We start from the raw sequence: 24,866 nt of genomic DNA on the forward strand, positions 1-24,866 counted from the left end.
GTTTAACCAGAACATGCCCACACCATGTAGGCTATCACACGCTACTTGAGAGGGAAAGAAGATTCTGAGGGTTTATATAGTATGAAGAATGTCTTTTCTCAAATTAACTCTGAATCTGCTCTGAAGGGGGGTGGGCATAGCAGTGAGAAACTGTGGGTACACAGGAGAAAGTGCAGAATGTACAGGAAGGCCACCTGGATGGGTCTCTGAGCATCCCCAGGAGTGCAGGGCTTTAGGCTGGCAGGGCTTCCTTGCCTCACTGTCAGAGCATTTCTGTTCATTCTCATCCCACATCGCATAGCTTCCCTTATTAAGTGCCCAGAATCCTTGTGCTTTCTCTCTCAGTTCTTGTTAGAGTGGATGGGAAGTAGTCTCATAAACATATATCAAGGTGTTAGGAACTGCATGGGCTGCCCCTTCAAAGAGAAATTTCCTTTGAGAGGGGTTAGGATGATTTATAAAACAACGAAATTAATCCTTCTGGTGGGATTTTTAGTTACCATAATTGTGGGGGAAAATATTATTGGATAACAGGGGACTTCATATCCTTACAAAACACAGGATCTTGACCACTTCCTAATTCCGCCCATGTACTACCTTATTTACCTTACCGTGGGGCATTTCCAAGCTACTGTGGAGAGAGGAAAATAATGTGAAGCACGAAAAGTGGCCAAGCTGCATAACAAGTTCTGTGCCTTCAGGCAGGAGCTTGTGGAAGGAGCCATAGAAAAGTTGATTCAGAGGGCATTTAGCCAACAGAGCATTTAAACCCTCTCTTAGATCCATTTAAACCCAGAGGATGTCTTCCATGTTCTTGAGCTTTTTACAATTCTACAAAAAGCTAAACCAATATACACTAGGGTATAAGAAGAAGCGACAGAAATTGACTCAGGAGCGTTTAGTAAACTAACTGAAGGCAATGATTATGCTTTCAATGCCTTTGTATCACACCATTCAGCCTGATTCATTCAATGCATTTAGCAAACATTCTCTGAGCATCTTCTATGTGCCAGATGCTGTGCTGGATGTTGGAGATTCTAAATCATTAAGATGTGGTTCCTGTCTTGAAAGAACACAGAACCTAGTGGAGAAGATGGAAATTATGGGCACACGACAGTTACAAAATAATGTGAAGTCCATTCCTAGTTGTAGAAGTAAAATGCCATTGTATCATTGAGAGTAGAAAAAATTAATTCTGTCTGGCTTTAGAGACACACTGGCATTTGAGCTCAGCCTTGGAGGACAAGATGGTTTCTCAGTAGCTCATTAGCTTGGCATCCTGAATATAGCAAAGACTTAATAAATGTCATTGCCTAATAACCTCAAAGATAGAGGAAACTAGAATTCCTTGAAATTTAAGTCCATTGTTGTTTTTCCATTTTCTGCCTGGATTGAGGTAGACCCATTTCTCATTCAGACCCCTACCTGGTGTGGCATCACTGGACTCCTATAAATCATCCATGTTCCTGAGATTATCACATGGACCCTACCTAGGACATGGGAGTGGAAGCTTGCCATATGATGAATACCAAATTAGCTGTTGAAATTATCATCTCTCCTACTTTTTTCCATTGGAGGGTTTTATATTTTTAAGTTTATGACCTTGACACTTGTCTTAGTCTGTTTTGTGCTGCTATAGCAGAATACTTGAGAATAGAGATTTAGTTTTTACCGTTCTAGAGGCTTGGAAGTCCAAGGTCAAGGGGCTCACATCTGGCAAGTGCCTTTGTTTTGTGTCATCCCACAGTGGAAGGCAGAAGGGCAAGAGAGCGTGAGAAAGAGCAAAAGTAGGGCAAACTTACTGTTTAACAAACCCACTCCTGCCATAATGACATTAGTCCACTCATGAGGGCAGAGTCATCAGGACCTAATCACCTCTTAAAGGCCTCACCTCTAAACGTGGTTGCACTGGAGATTACATTTCCAACACATGAACTTTGGGGATGCATTCAAATCATAGCAACATTACATTCATAGCCCTAGCAATTCAACTCGAAGTACATTCTGATGACTGACTAAAATTTATTGCTGTGGTGACACTTAATCTGGCACCAGTGATAAGTCAATTCTAGGGCTGTAAGTTTTAGATTTATAATGAAATTTTGATTAAACTGGGCTTTTTAAAAATAGTGGTATTTATTCTGTGAACTAGCACAGTATGTAGAAAATGAATGGTGAAAAACCCACTACAAATCCTTCTGTGTAGTCATTAGCGACTCTATATTTAACAGTAATAATTGCATTATCTTTATGTACTTAATTTCTGTTTTCAGGCACCCTAAAAAAGTAAACAATCGAATGTTGGAGAAAAATGTGCAGGCCACTTCCACAGGTTGTTTTTGTCTGCCTCTAGATAGTACTATACAACACCTGAATGAAAGAGAACAAACTCTACGAACCATCAGATATTTCAAAAATATCTGAATTTGGATGATATAGAAAAATCAATGAAATAATCGGTGGAATCTGTCAATCTTTATTTAAACTTCACACTGGATATTAAAGCCTTTGCTGTTCGTTGTCAGCCTTTAGAGTTCAGAAAGAGTGAAATTCTAATTTTCTCCACAAGGTGGGAGTAGAACACTAAAAGTGTTTTGAAATGGCCCTCATGAAAAGGTGTCATATATTTATTTGTGTTAAGAAAAACCATACTCTAGCAAGAAATAAGAAAAAAGAATTTTAAAAAGTCTACTAAAAATTAGTAATCTTTGTGTCCTCATGTTCACATTAATTTTAGCCTCTTTAGAGTTTGTAAATTTTCTACAAATTTCACCTTCAAACTAAATACAGGGTTTACAAAATGGACAAAGAAAAGAAACAACAATTGCCAGTGAAGGGAAATACTACACATTTCATCTTGAGTCGTAATATGTGAAGTCTCAAGTGTTTTGGTAGTGATTATGAATTTTCTCAAGATGGTTGGCTGTCTGGCTGTCTGGCTGGGGAACGTATATTTTTGAGGCTTGAAGATCAGTAGAAAATAGGTTGGGCAAAATAGTTGCATGTGGTTAACAATTTGGACAGAGTCTAAACTTACATGAAAAGGTAAATATTTAATCTGTCTTTCTGGTCTTGTTTATAGAGCCTTTTATCAAGAGAGAAAATCAGGCCAGTCTTCTATTTCAACTCTAACTCAAGATTCTTTTCTTTCAGGAAAACATTCATGATCTCATTCCACCTGAAGCCAGTGCCTCTGTAATGTGTAGCAGAATCCTATGGAGAAGTTGTAAAAACACAAAATGTTGGCCCCACCCCAAGAGTTTCTGATTTTGCAGGTCTGGAGAGGGCCTGTGATACGTACTTCTAACAAGCTCCCAGGCGATGCTAATGTTGCTGGTCTAGAAACACACTTTGAGAGCCACTGTTTTACAATGTATTCACCCAGCTTATGCAATCAACTACTATCACAGCAAAGTCCAAAGAATGCTCCTTATTTGTTTGTTATACTGGAGTTTGGCTTGGCTAAATATTATTTGAAACTGAATGGCTGTTGATTGTGGCTCAGAAACTGTTTTCTTCATAGCGCTGCAATTGGATTTATTTATTAGAATTTGAGCTGAATGTTGTCGTACATTTTGGTTACATTGGTTTCTCAGGATATTTTATAGGTACATGTTGTCTCTTTCTAAGTGCACTGTCACTTGAGGTGGGCCTGGGCCTTTTGTTCCTGTTTGTCCTTACTCTTCCACGGAGCTAGCAGTCTCCAGCACAGGGGTGATCAGTTCTTAATCACTGAAGACTAATTAATCTTTCAGTATACATGCTATTTTAGTGAGTAATTTTTGCCAGAAATACTAGTGCTGATGTAAAATAAGGGTTAGGATTAGGGAAGGATTTGGCCTGAATAATTCAATTTATATGTATAAGTCAGGGTTCTCTAGAGAAATAGAATCAATAGGGTGTGTGTGTGTGTGTGTGTGTGTGTGGTGGTGGTGGCAGTGCAGGGACAGAGACAGAGAGACAGGGAGGGAGAGAGAGAGAGGGACAGAAAGAGAGAGAGAGATTTATGAGAAGGAATTGGCTCACACAATCACGGAGGCTGAGAAGTCCCTAGGATCTGCAGTCAGCTAGCTGGAGACCAAGGAGAGCTGATGGTATTGTTCCAGTCCAAGTCCAAAACCCTGAGAACCAGGAGAGATGATAGTGCAAGTTTCAGTCCAAAAGATGCCAAATTCAAGATCCAAGAAGAACTGATGTTTCAGTTTGCGTCTAAAGGCAGGAAAAGACCGATGTCTCAGCTCAAGTATCAGGCAGAAGGAGTGCCCTCTTAAAAAGAATCAGCCTTTTTGTTCTATTCAGGCCTTCAACTCATTGGATGAGGGCCACATGCATTAGGGAAGGCAATCTGCTTTCCGCAGTCTGTGCATTCATATGTTAATCTCATCCAAAAACACCCTTACAGACACACCCAGAATTATGCTTGACCTAATACCTGGGCACTCCACATCCCAGTCAAGTTGACACAAAATTAACCATCACACTATATATGTATAATCATTAGTTAAATGGAAATTGGTTCACTGTCCAAATTCCTCTACCTTTTGCCTCAATGAAAAAAAAAATGGTTGCCTGTTCACTCTGATGGTAGTTTCTTTTGCTGTGTGGAAGCTCTTTAGTTTAATTAGATCCCATTTGTCAATTTTGGCTTTGGTTGCCATTGCTTTTGGTGTTTTAGACATGAAGTCCTTGCACATGCCTATGTCCTGAATGGTAATGCCTAGGTTTTCTTCTAGGGTTTTTATGGTTTTAGGTCTAACGTTTAAGTCTTTAATCCATCTTGAACTGATTTTTGTATAAGGTGTAAGGAAGGGATCCAGTTTCAGCTTTCTACATATGGCTAGCCAGTTTTCCCAGCACCATTTATTAAATAGGGAAGGCAACCTACAAAATGGGAGAAAATTTTCGCAACCTACTCATCTGACAAAGGGCTAATATCCAGAATCTACAATGAACTCAAACAAATTTACAAGAAAAAAACAAACAACCCCATCAAAAAGTGGGCGAAGGACATGAACAGACACTTCTCAAAAGAAGACATTTATTCAGCCAAAAAACACATGAAAAAATGCTCATCATCACTGGCCATCAGAGAAATGCAAATCAGAACCACAATGAGATACCATCTCACACCAGTTAGAATGGCAATCATTAAAAAGTCAGGAAACAACAGGTGCTGGAGAGGATGTGGAGAAATAGGAACACTTTTACACTGTTGGTGGGACTGTAAACTAGTTCAACCATTGTGGAAGTCAGTGTGGCGATTCCTCAGGGATCTAGAACTAGAAATACCATTTGACCCAGCCATCCCATTACTGGGTATATACCCAAATGACTATAAATCATGCTGCTATAATGACACATGCACACGTATGTTTATTGTGGCATTATTCACAATAGCAAAGACTTGGAACCAACCCAAATGTCCAACAAAGATAGACTGGATTAAGAAAATGTGGCACATATACACCATGGAATACTATGCAGCCATAAAGAATGATGAGTTCATGTCCTTTGCAGGGACATGGATGAAATTGGAAATCATCATTCTCAGTAAACTATCGCAAGAACAAAAAACCAAACACCACATATTCTCACTCATAGGTGGGAACTGAACAATGAGATCACATGGACACAGGAAGGGGAATATCACACTCTGGGGACTGTGGTAGGGTGGGGGGAGTGGGGAGGGATAGCATTGGGAGATATACCTAATGCTAGATGACGAGTTAGTGGGTGCAGCGCACCAGCATGGCACATGTATACATATGTAACTAACCTGCACAATGTGCACATGTACCCTAAAACTTAAAGTATAATAAAAAAAATAAAATAAAAAAAAAAAGAAATAAGAATACAAAATTGTTCTCTATAAAAAAAAAAAAAAATGGGCCAACACTGTTCTGGGTGGCCCCATATAACTTCTAACTGTTTTGGTCATCAGTTTAGTGGGTGAATTGTAGCAATGTGATCTCGTTTATCTTTCAGGGGTAAGATGAAAATAGCCATGCTCACCTAAACAGATCCATTGACAAATTCAACTAGCATCCACAAAAACAAAAACTTTTGTAAACATGAAGTGCTATAGATATATTTAATAAAGACAATCATTTCCATATCATGGGTTTTACTGGTCAGATATATTTCTTTATAAACCACACTTCTAGAAATAAAAGAAGTGTAAGCAGAAATGCATGGATCCACTGAGGACATTATAATATAATGGCAACCATTTAAAGATACTGAAGATTAAAGCTGGTTGTTTACCAGCAAGGCATAGCGAGTGAAAGACTTTATATGATACATGTTCTAATTATTTTACAAATCAACTCAGGCGTAACAATCTGGTATGCCCCATAGGCTCTGCCACTGATTCCCTCATTCCTAAGTATGTGTAATTTCTATAAAACAATCAGAGAAATTCCAATTTCTAAATCATCATAGTCTTCTCTCTACCTTAGGTGAAAGTGCGGAATACCCACAGGGCCATGGAAAGACACTGCATTCTTTTCTAGTACTTAAACCATAGCTTCGAGGCACTGAATAATAAGCACTATTACTTATTTAATTTTATAATGGCTGTGGGGAGAGTGTTCATGAAATGTTTTGAGCTCCTCAAATAAAATACATGATACGCTCTTTTCAGGTGAGATTTTCAAATAGATTACAAAATAATTTTTTTTCTAAAAGCGTGGAGAGAAAAAGATAAAAAAAAAGTGAGGAGAAATGAAAGAATTTTATTTGACTTGCAGAATTTGCATTTGAATTATCTATACTTACTAAGATGGCTATGTCTAGTTGTACCTGTCTGATGGTAGCTTATAACTGTAAATGCTTAAAGATAAACAGATCATAGGTTCTGGATGAGGCCGAGCACAGGCTCTAAAAGTCGCATCACACAGCCACCTGCTCATCCTGGCTTTGGGCTCTGCCCCTTGAATGTTTGCCCATCTGACTCCATTTGTACCTCCCTCACTGCTTCCCTGATTCATTTCAGTTTCATTCTCATTTTGGCTATTTCCTCACTTCTAGTTGGTGCTTTCTAGAGTTTCTGGCAAAAGCATGGACTCTGAAGTCAGGTTGCCTGGGTTTAATTCCTGTTCTATTGCTTGCTCTCTGAGTCTCAGTTTCCTTCTCCCTAAAGGAGGGATAGAACCCATCTCAGAAGGTTCTTGTCAATATTCACTGAGATAAGCACAATTTCTGATAAATGTTCATGCTTATTACATGCCAGTTGTTATTATTATTATTATTATTTTTTAGGGTGTTTTTGCTTTTAGCTCAACCTTACGTTACTGTGGCTGTGTGAGCTGGTGTTGCTGTCTTCTGCTTAATTCTGTGGCACAATGTCCTGTCCTAGCTTTCTTCAATCTGAGTGTACCCTCTGCTTCTCTCCCTCAGTTCCACCCCTGGAAGCAGAAGGTTCCCGGGGGTTAGGAGAGCTGCTTCAGTATCATTGCTCTTCAATCTCAGACAATAGCAAACACCCTTCAGATCTTACCAGGTAAGAGATCAGGTTACCAGTGGAACTGACCTGTTGGTTTTGTCATCTGAATAAACACTATAGATCACCTCCTGAATGATTTGGCTTTAGAAATCCATATTCATCATTGGTGGGACTCGCTTGGCTACTACTACTCTATTCATCACTCATTGATTAATTGAAGGTATGCCTGCAGAATTCATGCCATGGACAATGATTCTAATGCCAGCAATGTGGATATTCAAGTTCTTTTGTTTCCAGTCATGTTTTAGGGTGACCGTGACTTGTTTTAATTGTGTATGCCGTCTTTTAGGGAACTCTCATTCAGTCGTTAGCTTGAAATATTTACTGTCACCCAAAAGCCAAGGATTTTTGTTGTCCTGTAGGTTAGAGGTTAGCCTTCTGGGGCCTGAAAGAGGAAAGCAACAAAAACTCAGAGAATTTATTTCCTGCTCATACACAGGAGCTGGGTGGAGAATTTCCTCCCTTGTAAGATCTTGTAGAACACATTTTGGTTTTCTGAAGAATTGGCAAAGAAAAAAGTAGAGTTAAATAATCAAGGAAATAGCACACTATGAACAAAAAAGCTTTAAAGGGTTTTTTACCTATGGAATTAGCCATAGAAAAGCAGCTCTGTTTTTAGAGATGAATCAGTCTTAGCCTATCCTTTAATAACAAATCAGTGAAGCATCTACACCTCCATTTATTTTGAATACCTGTGCTACATCACTGTAACCAATGGTATGTTCTTTTGTCCCACAAATGAGCTGAAGACAGGGCCTTACTTTAATATGGAATATACTGATTTTGTTGGGTTCTATTACCTTCTCACGCTGCTAAAAAGTCTTTTCATGTTCAAATTCCACTGTGTTTTCAATGTCAGTTTTTTTTCTTACAAAAGGAAAAGGGTCCCCTGTGGAAGCTTATGAAAGCTGACACATTTTCTTGTGAAATATCCTTCTGAGACCATATGGTTTATCAGTAAGCACATATTTTTAGACCTTTTAAAATGAGTATTATGAAATTAACATGAGATGTTTTTAGAAAAGTGAATGCTATTGACTCAGTAGGGCAGGATGCCTGTCTGCTTTGTGGTTGTTACTCTTTATAATTCCCTGTGAAAGACGTTTTCAGATAATTAAAAAAGGTATTTGGTCTATGGAGCAAAAAAACTTATCAAAAGAGGTTATATAACACATGCATGGCAGCTACTTGTCAAAGTTAAATATACCCATTTCTTTCCCCACAAAGCCGTTAGATCTATTACCACCTAATTGCTTGGAAAATTCATTTTCTTTTTCTCAAATCACAGCCTTAATTGAGGTCTGAAAGCTCACCAAGGGCCTTTTAAATCAGCAAACCTAACTTAAAAAAAATTCTCCTATAATTTAACTTTGTGGCCAGGGACATATTTTTTTTCTTTGAGACAGTTACGGCAGTCAGTACTAGTAGAAAAACCTCTTGCTTTGAGAAATCAGAGAACTGGGGAGCGTGTCTTACTGTTTCTGGTAATGCACACTGGGGCCAAGAGTTCACAGCAAAGTGAATAGATATTAATTGCAAACATATTATTTAATCATGCTGAAACCAAAATATTTTAAACCAACTTATGTGGGTGTTTTATTGTAAATGTTAGGATGGGAAACACAATCTATTCTGCATTCTGGCTATGGAAATCTGCCCTCCACGTGGCCATCTGCAGGAGTACCATATGTGTAACACACACAACTTTATTCCTTCTTACACCAACCCTAAAGTTTGCACAACAAGAAAAAATTTTCAACTTTGGTTTATGACATATCAGGGTGCTTTCAAGCATAAACAGTGATTAGAATATCTAAATTGATGTTTGAAATCAGGATTAATTTTAATTATATAAGAGAAATGAAAATAAATGTGATTAAAAAAATAAACATAGATGCAACCATTCAGGTCAGGGTTGCTATTTCAAGGAGTCACCTTGAGAAGCTATGAACTAATTTGAAATACTCTACCATTTCTCAAAATGTTTTTGAAACTCCTCATTTGGAATTGCCTCAGAGTTAGTTTTTCATCTGCGTCTCCTTATCACTTTAGAATTACATTTTTGTTACAGATGGTGTTGCCTTGCTGGGGCACTTTATTCACCAAGCTTCACTTGGAGTGAATTTTTGTGTTTAGAAACTTACAGGATATGGTGCAAGCAAGTCCAAATATTTTGTGCAACATCACCCTCTCTGGATTGGCTATGTGCCTCTTCTCCTACCCCAGGATAACTTAGATTTAAAATTGGGAAGGAGTAAGCTGGGTGACTGATATGCATTAGTTTCATTTCATCTTCACAAAGTCCTATAAAGCAGGTATTATTCATGTTATTCAGATGAGGAAACAGACTTAAAATGTTTAAGTAATTTAAGACCTCTTTAAACTAATGTAGACCTGGGAGTTATCTGGGACTAAATTTCAATTTTTTCTTCTACAGCTGTCATCTCCATTCAAGGTGACAACATCATTCTGGAATTACAAGTCCTGTTGTGCTTGTGAAAATTTACAATAGTTTTTAATTATGTTGACCATGTACATACCTATGTAAGTTTGGGCCAGTGCATCAGAGATATATTTCACATTCTGTTAGTGATTATGTAGTTGTGAGAGCTGAGGATAGGCGAACAAATGTCATTTGTTTATGCACAGCAATCACTGTGATAGGAAAGCCAAATAATATTGGGCACTGTTGACAGTAATAATGTTTCACATCCTAGTGTTATAAAAATTTGCCTCATTAAACAAGATCAAACAAATGAGCCAATAAGAAGAAAGCCCCATTTCTTCTTCTCCTAAGCAGACCTTAGGAGTAAATAAATGAATGAGAAGTGAGCCTGTGATTCTAATGTAAAAACCTTGGGAGAGATGGACCAGAGATGATTGGGCTTCTGCTTAGGATGATACGTTTGAAGACAAAAGAGCCCATGAGCTGGGTGCCTAGTTTAGGAGCCCATAAGCTGGGTGCTTAGTTTAGGAGGTATGTATGCCTGCTGCTTGCTCAGATGACATAATTCGGAAAAAAAACAGAAATTGGAGGTATGTAATAATCTAGTTACGGTTCAAAAGAGGGTACCATCTTTCCGTATATCACCAACCACATCTTCAACAGAAGCTTACATAGAAACATTGCTTACTATGTGCCAGGTGGAGTTACCTGCTTTGCGTGTGACTTTTCTAGTTTCAGCACTGAAAGTCCTGCATCCTTGAAGCCCCTAAGTCCCAGGCAAACCAGAACATTGGTGTTCGATGCCAGGTTATGTTTTAAAGCTTTATATTTGGTAACACATTTAATCTTCACAACAACCCTATGAGGTAGGTACTATTATTACGTCTATTTTGCAGAAGAGGAAATGCTTGCTTAAAGAGGTGAGGAAACTTGTCCAGGCTTCCATAGCTAGTAGGTAACAGAGTCAGGATTTGAAGTCAGGTAGTTTGGTTCAGTGTTAGGGTGCTTCTTAGAATACTGCCTCTTGAAGGGCTGCCCCTAAGAGTGTCCTGCTTTGTACTAAAGGGAGAAAAAGAGATTGTTGGGAATAGAATGATGGCTTAAAACATAGTCTTACTCTCATGCTGCATACATGAGATATACAGGCAAGAAAACAGGCAATCACTAGATCTGGGAAGGAAGAGAAGCTCTTGTCAGAAAGTAGAGTGAACTATTTGGGTATGTCAGAGGTTAATAACCCAACCTGATTGGTCAGGGATGACATGAAACAATGTGTAACGGCAGCAGCCTGTGGCTTGTTATGTAGGGACTGGTCAATAAACAGAATTATGTCATTAGGCTTCAATTCTGGCAGCTGTAGGAGAATTGACAACTATGACAGTGGCTGTTTAAAAATGGAAATGATTGTTAAGGAAGGATGTGAGCCACTTGGAACTTCCAGGGAAGCAGAGGACAGAATGGGGATATTTAGGATAGAATCAGTCACATTGTGATAATCCCCAAGGCCACGGTAATGTTGGTCTGAATGTCTATGTGGTCCCTGGAAGCCTGGGTTAAATGAACACATAACACTGAGGATATCTTGGTGGGAGATTCTTAGGCATATTCATGATAGGATGCTGATATGTTAATACTATCATCACCACTACAACAACCCAAGAAACAAACACAAATCAAAATAAAAACATGAGACTTGGAACGATTTTTCTGGAGGGCATGAATTATGCTGTGTTGTTATTATGCATAGGGATTAGCAGATTTCAGAGCTCTTCTCCGATGTGGAAAACAGTAAGCACTGTCATTGACTATAAACCTGATCAATAAGACGGTAATGTGATTAATACCTGTAATGCTCAGGATGGTCTTGGATTTCGCATTGAAAATCCCTCAGGAAACCTCTTAGTCTTGAGCAAACTGGACTGCTCTACCAGTAGGCTAGCTCTAGAGCTACTCAACCCCAACTCAACAGCTTGCTCCGAGCTCTGTGAGCTTGGAAAAATTATTTCACTTCTTTTTAGTCTTAGTTTACTCATTTGTAAAGTGGTCATGTTAAGGGTATCTACTGTAGAGTTGTTATGAATCTTAAATAGTACTTGTCTGTCCTTATTGCAGTCCATATACATTTTAGCTATCATTAGGAAATACAAAAATTACACAATAGAGATGGGTTTGTCTATGTTGCTTTGCTTTGTCCATACCTATCTAGTGCATTAAGTAGTCAGTTTTTCTGTTCACCAAGCCTTTCCGGCTTTTTGTTTTGGTACATAGTAGGATTCATGTTAGGTGTGACCACCTGACTTCCTTTGGTTAATGAAATAGGAGAAATGAGGTGTGATACATCTCAGCAGAATCTTTAAAAATGTTCATGTGGCACATCATGCTCTCTTTCCCAGGAATGTCCCAGATAATGGCTGCTCTGTTATCTGGGACATTCCTGGGAAATGGGTCCTAAACTAAGGATGAAGAAGCAAAGCCCTCAGTTGAACTGTAACAGATGTGAGGCATTAGTGAGAAGTAACTTGTTGCTTTAAGCTGCTGAGGAATTTTGGGTTTGTTTGTTACCACAGCATAAGCTAGCCTCTATGCCAAGGAATTGACTGACGGTCCCTGAGCAATGCCGTTCATGGAGGACTGTAGTCAGGCTGAAGCCAACTGACTTAACCCAGTTACTTTCCAATTGACTGTAAACTTAAGTTTATTTTTGGCTTTTCAGGTTTGCCATTTTATTAAACAAAGAACAAAATGACTGTGCATGCTTTATCATGGTTGACTTGCGACGGCATTGACGTTGATCTGTGGTGCACTGTGCTTGTGCTGTCTGTGGCCTTGCATTTGTTTGCTGCTTATGTGTAATGCCTTCATTTGGACAGTCATTTACAACCCTGGATGGTTATTAGACTCTTCTGGGGAGTTTATAAAATTTACCCATATCCAGGCTATATCCTACATGCTGTTTTGCAGGAGGTCCCCAGGTATTTCTAATGTACAGTAGAGGTTTCAGCCTCAACCAGATCATTAACTCTTTGGTGAGGAACTATGACCTGAAATTGCTGGATATCTTCTTTATGTCTATTGTAAACAGGAGGTCAGGATGCAGCGGACCATGGGGCAACATGAAGAATAAAGCATGACATGACTTAGTGGAGGGCAGCAGACCATTGTCCCACAGTTCTAAGTGCTATTTGGCAATTCAGAACAAGCATTCAGTGGGGACTGACATGATCTTTCCAGAAGGGTAATTCAGGGCTGCAGGTGCCAATTAAATCGTTGTGGAATTTAATGTTTCAAATGTCCACATCATTAATAAGATGTGGTAGAAGGAATCACGTCCTTGTGGGCATACTAAGGGAAGTTCTTCACTTTGGTAAAAGGGTGCGCCTGATCTACAAGCACTGTGGACACAGCTCATTTTTGGAGGTGACATCTTGTCTGCTACCGTTTCTTTGGCTTCGCTTGTTGCTGACCTTGACTCTCTTCCTATGGGATCAACTGTTCATTGCCTTTTTGATACTGCCTTCCTCCAACTGATGTGCATACCCTTGTCTGACTCTAGGATTTTATTTCTGTCTCTGTCCTCATTTGTGCAAATGAATGCCCCTCTGTGGTTTGGATCTTCTGATCCTGAATCCCGGTGGCCACATGGAGCCAGTGTTTGTTGAGTCTGGGGAGCACTGGCCAGGCTTTTCTCTGTGTTGCTTTGCTAACCTGGCATGTTTCTATTATCAGTTCAACCTGCCAGCTCATGCCCACCCAGGTGCAGTGGAGGCTGAATAAAGGCAAGATCCTCCTCCTTTTTGCAGCTTTTATTGGCCTCCTTGTCCTTTGATCTCGCTTATTTTTCTAAGCCCATTAATCGGAGCTATTATATATAAACATACAACACATATAAATACACGGACAGACAGAAGATTCAGCACTTGTAAAATTTTTCATTTGCCAGTTTTTTAATTGGATTACTGGCTTCAGGGTGGAGCCCTTGGGGGAAAGGGGCCAGGAAAGCATGCATTTCGAGGGTCAAATAAGCAGCAAATAAGCAGTTGAAGGCAAAGACAGATCCCCAAAATTAAGGGTGTCATTTTATACTGGATCCTGGCTCCCCAAAAGAGGGAAATACTGTGGGAGAGGACAGTGCAGAGCTTCTACCCTGTGTTTCATTGCAAGGCAGCTCAAAGCCAATCAGCCCATTTTGTAATCAGCCCATCTCTCATGGGAGTCTCATCTCCCTGGGCAGGTGGGAATGTTTCCTTCCAGGTGGCCAAGAGCGTGCTTTTCTGATCCAAGTGTGCAAAGAATCAAGTGCCTCTCCATAATAACTATTAGCCATCCCTTAAAGTATATTTCCTACCTAGTTATTACACACCAAAGCTCTCTCATAATGCAAAGTAATTTCTGATACCCTCAAAACTCAAAACCATCAGATAACACAATGCAAAACAGAGCAGGGCCTTTGATTTTGAGAGGGATCTATCTGCTTTTAATTCCTGGGATTTCATCAGGAAAACAGAGGGTTTTTTTCCCCAAAACGGGGTTTTTGGCACTTCCTCTGTTTTTCCCAATGAGTCCCTGGATACCAGAAATTATCTTAGGGCCTCTCATGTGCATTAAGAGTGGCAAGACAAAAAAAAAAAAAAAAAAAAAAAGGAGAAAAATAATTCAGCCGACTAAGAAGAAAAAAACCTTTTTCCAGAAAAACAAGTTCCAAGAAGAGAAAAACATAAAGGCTTTTTAAGTATACCTATAGCTCGTTTATCCACTTTTAATTAAACCGACTTTTAACGATAGTGCTCTTTAAAAAAGAAATCCTTTCAGATCTCTTGTTACCAGACTTTAGCCATGCCAAGCGGCCAATATTTCTAGTTTCTGAACTTTGCTAAAGGTAACCTCTCACGTGCTTCAAAGACATGGTAAGCAGTTTCTTTTTTTACAAGATTTAGAATCTCCACAAGGTAGTTCAGAGAAAGGAAAATTCAAGAGAGGAAATCAGAAGCTAACTATGGGGGGAAAAAACTCAATAAATGGCCAAGTTACACAAATAACAAACCAGAAAGGAGTCAATCCAGAAGCCAACAATTGAACCTAAGCCACCACTGTCAAAAGATAAAGCCTTAGCTACTGAGCTATATAGCATTGAGCAGTTTTCCATTACTTTTCCCAGAAGGAGCCTAGAGAAGCCAATTTCAAGCTTGCAAGGCTTTTAACTGCTCAAGAAAAATTTTTAGGACTAACTATGACATGAACCCCCAAATTCCTGTCCTCTGGATGGTGGAAACCAAAAGAAAGTATCCCCACATGGTCACAAGGTTAAGCTCTTAAGGACACAAAACAAGACAGAGGCATTTCGTACAGTATTGGTTTCAGGGATCTGTAGCAAAGTTTGTAAATGACCAGCCTGCCAAGCTGGCTTGAAAAGCAGGCTTATAGGGGTCTAAACCCATGTTCTAGCCTGTGATACCCCTTTCTCCATTACAGAACACAGAAAGACAAATTCTTAGCACAAAGTACACCAGATTTGCTGCAGCCTAAGACTAGTCTCACAAATCCTTTTTTCTATTCATCAAACTCTTGCAGAGGAGACCAATAGTTTATTTACTGTTTTACCCAGACAGAGAAAGAGAAGGAGAAAGAGAGAGAGAACAGAAACTTGGCTGGTAAGAATTTCTTACCCTTTCTGCTAGCATGCCAGGTTTCTGGATTCCCTTTCTCTGCAGCTTCCAGAAGAACGGAGTGGCTTCTGATGTCCCTGCTCGCTTGTGCTATAGCTGTGGGGTTCAATCCACTTTACAAGAGAAAATCACCCTTTACTATTTTATGGAAACGTAGACAAGATTCTTAATTTGCAAGATGCTGCCCAATGGGCTGCATGGGGAATCAAATTAACATTTTCCAACCAGCAAAATACACATAACAAAACAAACATTAGTCACTTGTTTAGCACCCAATATCAGCCTAGCAAAGTTCAAACTTTTTCCCGTTGGTCCCTGTTGTCTTTGATCCACTCCAGGTGGGGACAGGCAACCTCCGAACGGTAATTCACAATGGGGTTTCTGGGCAAGGGGAAGAGCAGATAGTCACCCTGAGAGACAGGCCTGTTTAGCCTTCTTTATGGCTCATTGAATGTGAGCAGACAAATAAGGAGGGTTCTCTGAGTTAGGCCTGCTGGACTTCCATCAGCAGCCCCTCTGAGATCCCTTCCATATATACAAACACACACAAAGACAAGTTGGACAGAAGGCCCTCCAAATTAGATCCCTAACCAAGAACTCCAAGAGTATCCCTTCGAAACAATCTGCCTATTCTTCTGAGAAACCTCCTCAAAATCTTCCTGATTGAGGAGAAGTCTACCAAACCAGGACTCTTCCTGGTTTGAAAGAGCCAACCGAGACCTCCCAGGAACTGAACAAACACCCTGCAATGAGGCTACAGACACAGATATCCCATGGTGGAGCTACAGACACCCCACAATGGGGCTGCAGATACCCCACCACAGGGTACAAAACCAGTCGGGAGAAGGAAGGAAGCATTGGCAGCGCCTAGGATACGCACCAGTTCAGACATCCTACGATGGGGCTACAGACAGACACCCTACACCCTACCATGGGGCTACAGACAGATACTCTGTGATAGGGCTGCAGTTAAGGGACATCTCCCCAGGACTATTTCTCCATTGCAATTAAATCTATGCACATTGGGTCGGCAGCACCCCACCAGTAGAGAGAGTACCAGAGTCAGCCCCCAGTCCAAGATAATTAGGCAGCCATTTGGGCTGGCTTCTGGATCCATCGCTGGATTGGGGGGGCCACTGAACTATGAATGGGTAGCCACAAGGGCAATCCAGGATGAGCCCCCAAATTTATAACCACCCAAGGGGTTCACCTTGGCAACTGCCTAGACAGAGCTGATTCATCAAGACAGGGGAATTGCAATAGAGAAAGAGTAACTCATGCAGAGCCGGCTGTGTGGGAGACCCTAGTTCTGTTTTATTATTACTCAAATCAGTCTCCCTGAGCATTCAGGGGGCAGAGTTTTTAAGGATAACTTGGTGGGTGAGGAGAAGCCAGTGAGCCAGGCGTGATGATTGGTCAGGGATGAAATCATAGGTAGTCAAAGCTGTCTTCTTGTGCTGAGTCAGTTCGTGGGTTGGGGCCACAGGATCAAATGAGACAGTTTGTTGATCTGGGTGGTGCCAGCTGATCTATCAGTGCAGGGTCTGCAAAATATCTCAAGCGCTGATCTTGGTAGCAGTTTAGGGAGGGTCAGAATCTTGTAGCCTCTAGCTGCATGACTCCTAAACCATAATTTCTAATCTTGTGGCTAATGTTAGTCCTACAAAGGCAGTCTAGTTCCCAGGCAAGAAGGATGACTGCTTTGGGAAAGGGCTGTTACTGTCTTTGTTTAGACTATAAATTATAAACTAAGTTTCTCCCAAAGTTAGTTCAGCCTACATCCAGGAACGAATAAGGATGGCTTGGAGGTTGGAAGCAAGATGGAGTTGGTTAAGTTAGGTCTTTTTCACTGTCTCAGTCACAGTTTCCCAAAGGCAGTTTCACCCTTTGCTTCAGTCTGACTCTCTACCTCTCCCCGCTTCTCTGAGGGTTTAAATAGATCATAGGCAGAAGTTAATTGGAGATAAAAGTTTACAGTTAAGCAGGCAGGTCATAGCACAATATCCATATAATCTAAAGTAACCAAGGCTCTCTCTCAGGATCATTGAAATGTACAAAGGTATTCTTCCAATGCATTTTTAAAACCTAGATAAATCGTGTGTCATATAAAATGCATTGTAAAAGGTTCCAATTGAGTCATTGGATTAAATGAACCTTTCAACACCTTCCAGAGGAAAAGAGATGATATTTGGTGTGATGGAGTATTCAATGCTTGGCTTCACACTTACATGCTGCAGCAATCTTCCAGGAAGGCTTTACTTAGAAAGAGAAATAAAAAGAAATAAACCAGTGAACTCATGACTCTGTATTTGATATAAAGTACCTTTTTTTAAAATCAAAACTTCCAGAATATTCCCAGGAAGGAAAATGATATCTAAAGCTTCTACTTTCCTTTGACCCACTACTAAAAGGATACCTAATTCATCCCTCCTCGCATCCAACCTTTAGTACTGCCCACTAAATGGCCGATTACTCATATGCTAAAAGCTGTCTGGATTTCTCTCTCTCCTTAAATAGCAAGTGTGGCATTTTGCTAATGTCACAATTAACAGGAAGCTGTAAGCCAGTCTCTGACCAGTGAACTAATACAGAAGAATAAGAACAGATGCAATCAACCTATTAATCAGGGTTCAGCGTTCTTTATTCTTCAACTATTTTTATTCTGAACCTATGTTTTAGAAAACTATTTAAAAGATTCTATTAATTTGGAATCCATTTATTACAGATAGTCATCCTTAGAGATACTATTTTCACCTGAATAATATTGTACTGTTACCTTTATGGAGCATAATTAATGAGAGAAATGTTCTGATTATTCATTTCACAAATTCCAAAGTCCACCTCTCTCATGCTCTTTCTTCCATCATCTCACTTTTAGACTTTCTGTCTCTCAGCCCGCCCACTGATTTGTCTGTGAGGTCCTCAGTTTGTTTTCCAATTTAAAGGTAACATTTTGGCCAGGCACAGTGGCTCGTACTTGTAATCCTAGCACTTTGGGAGGCCAAGGTGGGAGGTACACTGGAGGTCAGGAGTTCAAGAACAGCCTGGCCAACATGGCGAAACCCCGTCTCTACTAAAAATACAAAAATTAGCTGGGCATGGTGGTGGGTGCCTGTAATCCCAGCTACTCGGGAGGCTGAGGCAGGAGAATCACTTGAACCCGTGAGGCAGAGGTTGCAGTGAGACAAGATCATGCCACTCCACGTGAGCCTGAGTGACAGAGCAAGACTCTGTCTCCAAAAAAAAAAAAAAAAGGTAATATTTTGTTCAGGAATTCTTGTTTGCTTATTCTCCATTGTATATCTTGTATTAAGATTATTTTTCTTAAAATTTAAAATATCTAGAATAGGGTCCTTGCTCCTACTAAAATGATGCTTTTGCTTGTTTCATTTTATACTATGGTTATTTTTCTTAGAATTTAAAGTATGTGAGGGTAGAGGATTTCCTTCTGCTGAAATGATGTTCTTGGATGATGATAACAAGCTAAAAGAAGGAAGAAATCAATTTTTTTAATGTGTTAAAATGGTTATAAGAAACATGATCATTTATATCATAGCTTCTTGAAAACAAGCCATCATAGGCACTGATAAAATTAAAATTTATAAAAATTATTTTTTCCTCTTGGAGCCCTCCATTCAAATTTATATTGAGCAACTAACTGTCTTGTGCCTTATACACTGGCTTTAGCTCTCCCAGGCGGTCTTTCATTCCAGTCCCACTTGGACAGAGTCCCAGATTTTCTTGCAGGCCTTGGAGGGGAAAGGGAAAGAGAAAATGAGCTGGGATTCTGGCATGGAGAGGGCTGCTGTGGCAGAGTAGGATGGCCCTGTAGCTGAGAGTGGCAGGATAATCCCCCTCAGCCAAGACCAACTGCCTCAGTGAGACATAAGATAGGCTTAAATCAGACCGCAGGGTCTTAATGAAACTGGAAAAGGACAGGCCATGAATCCTACCAGCTGCCAAGTTTAACAGCAGTTGCCAGTCCAATGACCAGAAACAGGCTCAGTGGCACTTCCATGATGGCCTGTCCAGAGAGAAGCATAAGGATGGAAAATGTTAATCCCAGCCCTCTACTCCCTACTGTCAGGAGGATACAGAAAACATGCTTCATATACCCAGATGTCCCTGTGGGGAAGAAAAGACAGAGAACATCTAACCAAAAAAGACTGAGCTCTCTAGAGAGAAATAGATTACTTTACAAGAGAGAAATGAACTCAGTTTTTATCACCACTCAGTAGGTGGGTGCTAATGAGAAAGATTAGATTGCTTACAGACAAAATAAAGATGCTGAATTTCTTCTGCAGATTTGTGTGAAGTGAGAGAAATTTTGGAAGCCTCTGCCGTGTGTGGTATGTTTGTGTAGTGGGGATAGGTGGGAGGAGGGTTTGTCTCAAAATACAAAGAGGAAGTAGGAACATAGAAGGAAAAAATTAGAATTGGCACATGGAGGTTCTGGCAAGTAGTGACCAGCATTTCCACCTGCAACTTCCCCCCATTACACATGAACGCTGCCATCTATTAGACAAAATGGAATGAAATAGGGCTAACTATGAATATAAGCAACAGAGTGTGCAGAAAAGTTACTATTGACATTGTGTTGGGACTCATGGAAAACTCTATTGAAGATAGAGATGTCTTTGAGATGCAGCCTGAAAGGCAAGTAGAATTTCAAAAGGAGATTGTGCAAGAGCTCAGAAGCAGGGGAATACACATATGCAAAACCAAAATGTCCAGTTTTTCTGGGGTTTAAAACCATGGAGGGAAGAAGCCAGGAGCAGGGGATGAAAAGGCAGGATGAGGCCAAGCTGGGAGTCAGGACAAAGAGTTTGCACTTCATTCTACAGGATATTGAGGTCCACAAGTGGATTTTTTTTCACCTCACTCTTCTGCTGAAACTCCTCAATGACTCCTCTTAGACAACAACTTAATATACCCTGGAATGTCATAGCATGTCCTGCCTGGTGTCCCATGAGAAAAAAAAAGAAGTTCCAGGTCATATAGGTTTGGAAAATGTCCTATATCAAATTCTCCTTCATCAGATTCTTGGAGATTCACAATATGCATTTGCCTATTAAAAGCTTTAAGAAATCCTATAGTAAGGAAACCTGTTACCATTGTTTTCTTCATTTAACCCAGCATTTCCTGGACAAATGGATTATGAAATAATTTTTTTTCTTTTTTTTTTTTTTACATTTACCATCATTAATATCCCTTAAAATTAGTTTTCCACTTTGTCTCAGAATACTTGGATTCTTTGCATGGGAGTTGAAATTCTTCATGATCTGGTCATCTTTGTGAAATGAACTTCTCCTTGAGCATTTTCTGAGCTGCTGTATTCCTCCAGACTCACTTTCTACCTTCTCTTTAGAAACGTCTTCATTTTCTAACCAGGGAAGTATTTGTTCCTTTTTTTTCTCTAATGAACCTTTTATAGTATGTATTTATGATGATTGGTTTTCTTTACTGTTCTTTGAGCCTCTTGAGGATAGAATACATACCTTGTAAATTTCTTTATTTCTATTATATAAGACAGTGTCTAGCACATAGCAAGGATGCGATTTATATTAAATATATTAAACAAATGAATAATTCTACCTGGGTTCTACAGATAACTATGGTAGAGCTGTGGGAGATGAATTTGAGAAGACCGCGGAGGCAAGGAGACTTATGGGAACCTATTGCAGTTTTAAGAGAAGACTTAGGCCTGTACTGGCATAGTGGCAATGGTGATCAAAAGAGAGGGGCTAAGATTTACTGAGCATCTGTTATAGGCCAGACACTAGAGAAGCTGCTGTAAGTCTTATCCTATTCTCACAAACACTTGTACTGGGCATGTCATGTAAGCTAGTGTTCAGCTACACTAGTCCTTTCTGATAAACCCCAGAGCACCTGCCTGTTACCAGCTCTCTTTTATTAAGTTCTCTGTGCATATATAACCATGCTTTGTCCTGTGTGGCCTCAGTACTTTAGCCACACTTGAGTGTATCGAGGATGAGCATCATCAGTCTCCAAGGCAGCCATCCATAGGCTGGCCAGTGTCTGCAAGAGAGAGCACCAAGCTCTGTCCCAAAGACAGAATTGTATTTGGAGTAGTAATGAGATCTGACCCTGTCTTTCAGACAGCTGAAAAAGGAAACCCACAAAAAGGGTGCAGTGGGTAGTGGAAGCAGAAGAAAAATACATATAGAAAAGACAATAGAAGGAAGGCAATAGGAGAAGGAAGTTAGCAGGAGTCATAACATTAAGAGTAGAGGGAAGTTAGTTGGCATGGAATAGAAGGGAGCAGGTATAAGAAAAGCAGAGAGAGAGAAAGGGACTGTCACCATTTAGGCAGAGCTGCTAGTGTAGGGAGTAACAAACTCTCATCTTTAAATGGAGGAGTTTTTGTCCTGCAGGGTCATCAGAGCCACACCTGCCCTGTTTTGAATCATGACCTATGACATCCTGGTCATCTGGGTGGTGACTGTTTTCTTTTCTTCCTGTTTATTTATATTTTTAAAATTGTAAATTTATAATTGTTAAATGTATGGGGTCCGAGTGATATTATAATTTTTTAGTACAATATGTACAATAATTAAATCAAGCTAGTTAACATATCCATCACCGCAAATACTTAACAGTTTTTGTGATGAGAAGTTTAGAAATCTCTCTTAGCAATCTTGAAATGCACAACAGTCTATTAATAATTACATTCACCACACTGTGCGATAGAACTAAAATAAATCATATTCCTCCCATCTGAGATTTTGTACCCTTTGACCATCATGTCCCCATTCCTCCCACAGCCTTGCCGCTCTAACCACCATTCTCCTCTCTGTTTCTATGAGTTAGATTGTTTTTATTCCACATATAAATGAGAATATGAGGTGTTTGTCTTTCTGTGCTTGGCTTATTTCATTTAGCACAATGCTCTCCAATTCCATCTATTTTGTTGGAAATGACAGAATTTCTTTCTTTTTTAAGGCCAAATATATTATTCTATTGTGTAAGTATACCACATTTTCTTTATTCATTCACCCATTCATTGATGGTCATCTAGGTTGATTCCATAATTTGGTTATTGTGAGTACTGCTGCAATGAACATGGGAGTGCAAACATCACTTCGACAAACTACTTTCAAATCTTTTGGTTAAATATCCAGAAGTGGCATTACTGGCTCATATGGTGATTTTATTTTTGGTTTTTTGAGAAACCTGCATACTGTTTTCCGTAATGACTGGACGAATTTACATTCCCACTAACAGTGTACAAGGGTTCGCTTTTCTTTATATCCTTGCCAACGCTTGTTATCTTTTGTCTTTTTGGTAATAGTCATTCTGACAGGTGTGAGACATATCTCATTGTAGTTTTAATTTGCATTTCCCTATTGATTGGCAATGTTGAACATTTTTTTCATATGTCTGTTGGCCATTTCTATGTCTTCCTTTGAGAAAGTCTATTTCAGTCCTTTGCCCATTTTTCAATTGGGTTTTTTTGGTTTGTTTTTATCCTATTGAGTTCATTGGGCCCCTTATATATTTTGGATATTAACCCCTTATCAAATGTATGGCTTGCAAATATTTTTCTTCAATCCATAGGTTGTCTCTGCACACTGTTGTTTCCTTTGCTGTGCAGAACATTTTTCTATCATATGTAATATCTTGATAATATCCTGAGACAGCTAGAAATGTGCGTCTCTTCCTTGAGAGAGCCTAGCATGGCACTATTATTTTTATTATAATTTTTAAGGTGAGGAAACCAAGGCTCCTTGAGACTAGGTGTTTTGCTCAAGCTCACAGAACTAGTAACCATGAGACTAGAGACAGAAGCTGAAGCCAGATTTGTTTGGCTCACAGCCAATATTGTATCTGATTCAATATAAACTTTCACCAGCTGGGAAGCAGAGACTGGATTCAGAAAACACTGCAGAATTAGAATCCATGGTGCTTGGTGACCTAGTAGCTGTTTCATTTGCATATCATTAAACGAAGGTCTTATAATGTTTTTTCTTTTCTTCCATTTTTTTTTTAAAACTACCATTTGCACTGCAGGAAGATGATGCAGAATCATGGACTTAAAGGGCTGTGATGCTGTTGAGTCCAGTTCTTCTTGTTCTTTAAAAAAAACTTCTGAATCACTTGTGAATTTGCTTCAGCTTAACAGCAGAGACTTCTTAGATATAGTACCTGTTGAATTTTGGGACTCATGAAAAGAGAAGCTCTTCTGCTCTTCACTGGTCTAGGTAGGATAAGGAGGCAAAGCACCTGCCTGCACAGAATTCACAAAAACATTCCTCGTCTTTCATGATGGCAACACAGCATTCCTGTTGACAAGTCTTGGCCTAATGCTGCTTCTGTCTTCAGGGAGGACCCCACTTCCTCTTCCTCTTTCCTTAGATTTCCAAGCAAATTGTATTAAGTCAGCCTCCACAAATTTAAAGACAGATGAATGAGACAAAAGGTGGTCTGAAGTTTATCCTTTATAGGTATACAAAAAGAATTTTTTTGGGAAAAATCATAGTATGAAGAAGACTGGGGTGAACATTGTGTCTTCTATAGATAATGCTGTGTGTGAGAAAATGTGGATGCATTCAGTGTCTGTTCTGCATTGCAAATGCCATGAAATCGGGGACTAGGTCTTTCTTGTTTTTCACTGCATTTCCAGCTCTAGTTTAGTGTCTGCCATGTAATAGCTACATATTACAGACTGAATTGTGTCCTCATAAAATTCATGTGTTGAAGCCCTAACCTCCAATGTGATCTTATTTGGAGATAGGGCCTTTAAGGAGTTAACTAAGGTTAAGTGAGGTCAGAAGTGTGGGGCCCTAATCTGATAGGAGTAGTGCCCTTTTAAGAAGCAGAAGAGAGATCAGATCTCCCTCTCTCTCTCTCTCTCTCTCTCTATCCACACATGCACAAAAGAATGACCATGTGAGGATACAGCAATAAGGCAGTGTCTATAAGCCAGGAAGAGAAGCCTCAACAGAAACCAACCCCAAAGCATCTTGATCTTGGACTTCTCCTAGCCTTCACAACTGTGAGAAAATAAATTTCTGTTGTTTAAGCCACCCAGTCCGTGGTATTTTGTTATGGCAGCACTAACAGACTAATACACTACCCCCTAAATCTTTGTAAAGGAACAAAGGAAAGAAGAAAGACAGGAAGGAGAAGAGATTTATCTTTTCTACTTACTGTATTGTGTGGTCTTGGGCAAATCACTGAAGATGCCTCTATTTCTTTTTTTTTGAGACCAAGTCTTATTCTGTTGCCAGGC

The 24,866-nt window shown here is 39.7% G+C and overlaps 1 long non-coding RNA gene across 2 annotated transcripts in view; it reads left to right on the forward strand.

Moving 5' to 3' along the window:
• The window catches only part of LOC105375448 (uncharacterized), a 40,971-nt gene that overhangs the window by 12,406 nt on the left and 3,699 nt on the right, over positions 1-24,866 (forward strand). Inside the window, exon 4 of one of the 2 annotated variants that reach the window (NR_187941.1) lies at positions 3,154-3,481. The exons of the other annotated variant lie outside the window; for it this stretch is intronic. This is a non-coding gene — a long non-coding RNA (uncharacterized LOC105375448). Of the gene's footprint in view, positions 1-3,153; positions 3,482-24,866 lie in introns of those variants that run through there. 2 annotated transcript variants of the gene reach the window in all.

The sequence above is a fragment of the Homo sapiens genome, chromosome 7, assembly GCF_000001405.40.
Source record: "Homo sapiens chromosome 7, GRCh38.p14 Primary Assembly".
In the NCBI taxonomy this organism is placed as follows: domain Eukaryota; kingdom Metazoa; phylum Chordata; class Mammalia; order Primates; family Hominidae; genus Homo; species Homo sapiens.